General features: G+C 61.2%; 1 pseudogene; it reads left to right on the plus strand.

Moving 5' to 3' along the window:
- LOC728424 (hyperpolarization activated cyclic nucleotide gated potassium and sodium channel 2 pseudogene) lies at positions 757-3,933 on the plus strand (annotated as a pseudogene).

The raw sequence follows: 4,233 nt of genomic DNA on the forward strand, positions 1-4,233 counted from the left end.
AAATAAACCATACAGTAAAATGTATCATTAGGAATAAATACATTCAGTACATGAGGGTCAAGTATTCAACTCCTCAGAAATAGACAACAGTTTTTGTCTAAACCTAAGAACATAATATCAACTATGCACAGTCAGAACTTCATGAAGAAATTGGTAAGTAAAGTGATCACATATTTGTCAAGTGTGTCAATATTTAACTGCAACAAATAATTAGAAAGTACATATTCTCATTCACTCATGGAACATTTATAAAAATGGGCTATGTGCCATAAATACAAGAAAATTTTCAATAAAGATATGCAGACGTTATCCAATTGTTCTTCAGTCGTAAGGCAATGCAATTAGAAATCAAAATAAAAAATAACAAAAAAGATTGTATGTTAATATTTTAAAATCCTCATAAGTCAGTCAAATAACAATTTTTATTTGTAATCATAAGAAAACATTTGTATTAGTAATATATTGTTGCATAACAGGTCGCCCCCCTACTTAGTGATTTCAAAAACAATAATCTTTGATGATCTCTCATTTGTGGGTGGGTCATGTACTTAGGAGCAGCTCAAATATATATTTCTGGTTTGGGAGCTCTCAGGAGGCTTCAGGCAGATGTCTGGGGTAACGGCCATGTAAAGACTTGAACTGGTCGGCGGCTCCGCTCCGCACTGCCGGGCGCCGCCTCGCCATGGACGCGCGCGGGGGCGGCGGGCGGCCCGGGGAGAGCCCCGCCGCCGCCGCGCCCCCCCAACAGCAGCCGCCCCGGGCCGAGGCGTTGCCCCCGGAGGCGGCGGAGGAGGGCGGCCCGCGGGGCCAGCGCCGCAGCCGCGACAGCTAGTGCGGCAGCCCCGGCATCCCGGGCACGGCGAGCACGGCCAAGGGCAGCCGGAACGGCCGAGTGCGGGCGCGGCTAGCCGCAGTGCAGCCCCGCGGGGCCCGAGGGCCCGGCGCGGGGGCCCAAGGTGTAGTTCTTGTGCCCCGGGGCGGCCTCGGGGCCCGCGCCGGGGCCGGGGCCGGGGCCGGCGGAGGAGGCCGGCAGCGAGGTGGCGGCCCGGCGGCGGAGCCGCGCCGCAGCCGGGCCAGCTTCATGCAGCGCCACTTCGGCGCGCTCCTGCAGCTGGGCGTCAACAAGTTCTCGCTGCGGATGTTCGGCAGCCAGAAGGCCGTGGAGCGCGAGCAGGAGCGCGTCCAGTCAGCGGGGTCCTGGATCATCCACCCGTACAGCGACTTCAGGTTCTACTGGGACTTCACCATGCTGCTGTTCATGGTGGGAAACCTCATCATCATCCCAGTGGGCATCACCTTCTTCAAGGACGAGACCACTGCCCTGTGGATCGTGTTCAACGTGGTCTCGGACACCTTCTGCCTCATGGACCTGGTGTTGAACTTCCGCACCGGCATTGTGATCGAGGACAACACGGAGATCATCCTGGACCAAGAGAAGATCAAGAAGTACGTGCGCACGTGGTTCATGGTGGACTTCGTGTCCTCCATCCCCGTGGACTACATCTTCCTCATCGTGGAGAAGGGCATCGACTCCGAGGTCTACAAGACGGCGTGCGCCCTGCGGATCGTGCGCTTCACCAAGATCCTCAGCCTCCTGCGGCTGCTGCGCCTCTCGCGCCTGATCCGCTACATCCACCAGTGGGAGGAGATCTTCCACATGACCTATGACCTGGCCAGCGCGGTGATGCGGTTCTGCAACCTCATCAGTATGATGCTGCTGCTCTGCCACTGGGATGGCTGCCTGCAGTTCCTGGTGGCCATGCTGCAGGACTTCCCGTGCAACTGCTGGGTGTCCATCAATGGCATGGTGAACCACTGGTGGAGCGAACTGTATTCCTTCGCACTCTTCAAGGCCATGAGCCACATGCTGTGCATTGGGTATGGCCGGCAGGCGCCCGAGAGCATGACGGACATCTGGCTGACCATGCTCAGCATGATTGTGAGTGACACCTGCTACGCCATGTTCATCGGCCACGCCACTGCCCTCATCCAGTCGCTGGACTCCTCGCGGCGCCAATACCAGAAGTACAAGCAGGTGGAGCAGTACATGTCCTTCCACAAGCTGCCGGCCGACTTCCGCCAGAAGATCCACGACTACTACGAGCACCGTTACCAGGGCAAGATGTTCGACGAGGACAGCATCCTGGGCGAGCTCAACGGGCCCCTGCGGGAGGAGATTGTCAACTTCAACTGCCGGAAGCTGGTGACCTCCATGCCGCTGTTCGCCAATGCTGACCCCAACTTCGTCACGGCCATGCTGACCAAGCTCAAGTTCGAGGTCTTCCAGCCGGGTGACTACCTCATCCGCGAAGGCACCATCGGGAAGATGTACTTCATTCAGCACGGCGTGGTCAGCGTGCTCGCTAAGGGCAACAAGGAGATGAAGCTGTTCGATGGCTCCTACTTCGGAGAGATCTGCCTGCTCACCCGGGGCCACCGCATGGCGAGCGTGCGGGCCAACACCTATTGCCGCCTCCTTTCGCTGAGCGTGGACAACTTCAACGAGGTGCTGGAGGAGTACCCCATGATGCGGCGCGCCTTCGAGACGGTGGCCATCGACCGCCTGGACCGCATCGGCAAGAAGAATTCCATCCTCCTGCACAAGGTGCAGCATGACCTTAACTCGGGCGTATTCAACAACCAGTAGAACGCCATCATCCAGGAGATCGTCAAGTACGACGGCGAGATGGTGCAGCAGGCCGAGCTGGGTCAGCGCCTGGGCCTCTTCCCGCCGCCGCCGCCGCCGCAGGTCACCTCGGCCATCGCCACGCTGCAGCAGGCCGTGGTCATGAGCTTCTGCCCGCAGGTGGCGCGGCCGCTCGTGGGGCCGCTGGCGCTCGGCTCGCCGCGCCTCGTGCGCCGCCCGCCCCCGGGGCCCGCACCTGCCGCCGCCTCACCCGGGCCCCCGCCCCCCGCCAGCCCCCTGGGCGCGCCCGCCAGCCCCCGGGCACCGCGGACCTCGCCCTACGGCAGCTTGCCCGCCGCCCCCCTTGCTGGGACCGCCCTGCCCTCGCGCCGCCTGAGCCGCGCGTTGCGCCCACTGTCCGCCTCGCAGCCCTCGCTGCCCCACGGAACGCCCGTCCCAGCGGCCTCCACACGCCCGGCCAGCAGCTCCACACCGCTTCTGGGACCCACGCCCGCTGCCCGGGCCGCCGCGCCCAGCCCGGATCGCAGGGACTCCGCCTCACCCGGCGCCGCCAGCGGCCTGGACCCCCAGGACTCCGCGCGCTCGCGCCTCTCGTCCAACTTGTGACCCTCGCCAACCGCCCTGCGGGCCCAGGAGGGCCGGAGGCGGGGCCGTCATCCAGACCAAAGCCATGCCATTGCGCTGCCCCGGCCGCCAGCCCGCCCAGAAACCACAGACAAGACATAGGTAGCCGTAGTTGGACTGACGGGCAGGGCCGGCGGGGCAGCCCCCTCCGCGTCCCCGGCCGTCCCCCCTTATCGCCCTGCGCCCACTCCCATCGCCCCTGCCCCCGGCGGCGGCCTCGCGTGCGAGGGGGCTCCCTTCACCTCAGTGCCTCAGTTCCCCTAGCTGTAAAACAGGGACGGGGCGGCCCAGTGGCTGAGAGGAGCCGGCTGTGGAGCCCCGCCCGCCCCCCGCCCTCTAGGTGGCCCGCCGTCCGATGAGGATCGTTTTTTAAGTGCAATACTTGGCCCACCGGCTTCCCGCTGCCCCCATCGCGCTCATGCAATAACCGACCCGGCCCCGGTCCACGCGCGTCCCGCGGTGACCTTGGGGAGCAGCACCCCAGCTCCCTCCAGCACTGGCACCGAGGGGCGGGCCTGGTTGCGCCGGGCGCGGGGGCGAGGCTGGGGTCCCGCCACCGTGATGAATGTACTGACCAGCTGAGGCAGCAGTGCCCCCACCGTGGCCCCTACGCCCAATTAACCCCCACACCCCCATTCCGCGCAATGAACGACAGCATCGGCAAAAAAAAAAAAAAAAAAAAAGACTTGAACTGGAGAACCTACTTCCAAGGCAGCTAACTCACATTTCTGGGAAGTAGGTTCTGAGAAGTCCATTCCTTCCCACACAACCTCCTGCCCCAGGGCTGCTTGAGTGTCCTCTCAGGGTGGTGGCTGACTTCTTCCAGAAATGAAGAGATGTAAGAGCCAGGGAGAGCCAGGCAGAAGTTACAGGTCCACTAGACAACCTACAGTATGGCAAATTACAGTTGCCTGTTTCCTAGAAAAATTTATACCAGCTGAAGTAATTACAGGAGATAGAAA

This window comes from Homo sapiens, chromosome 15 (genome assembly GCF_000001405.40).
Source record: "Homo sapiens chromosome 15, GRCh38.p14 Primary Assembly".
NCBI lineage: Eukaryota > Metazoa > Chordata > Mammalia > Primates > Hominidae > Homo > Homo sapiens.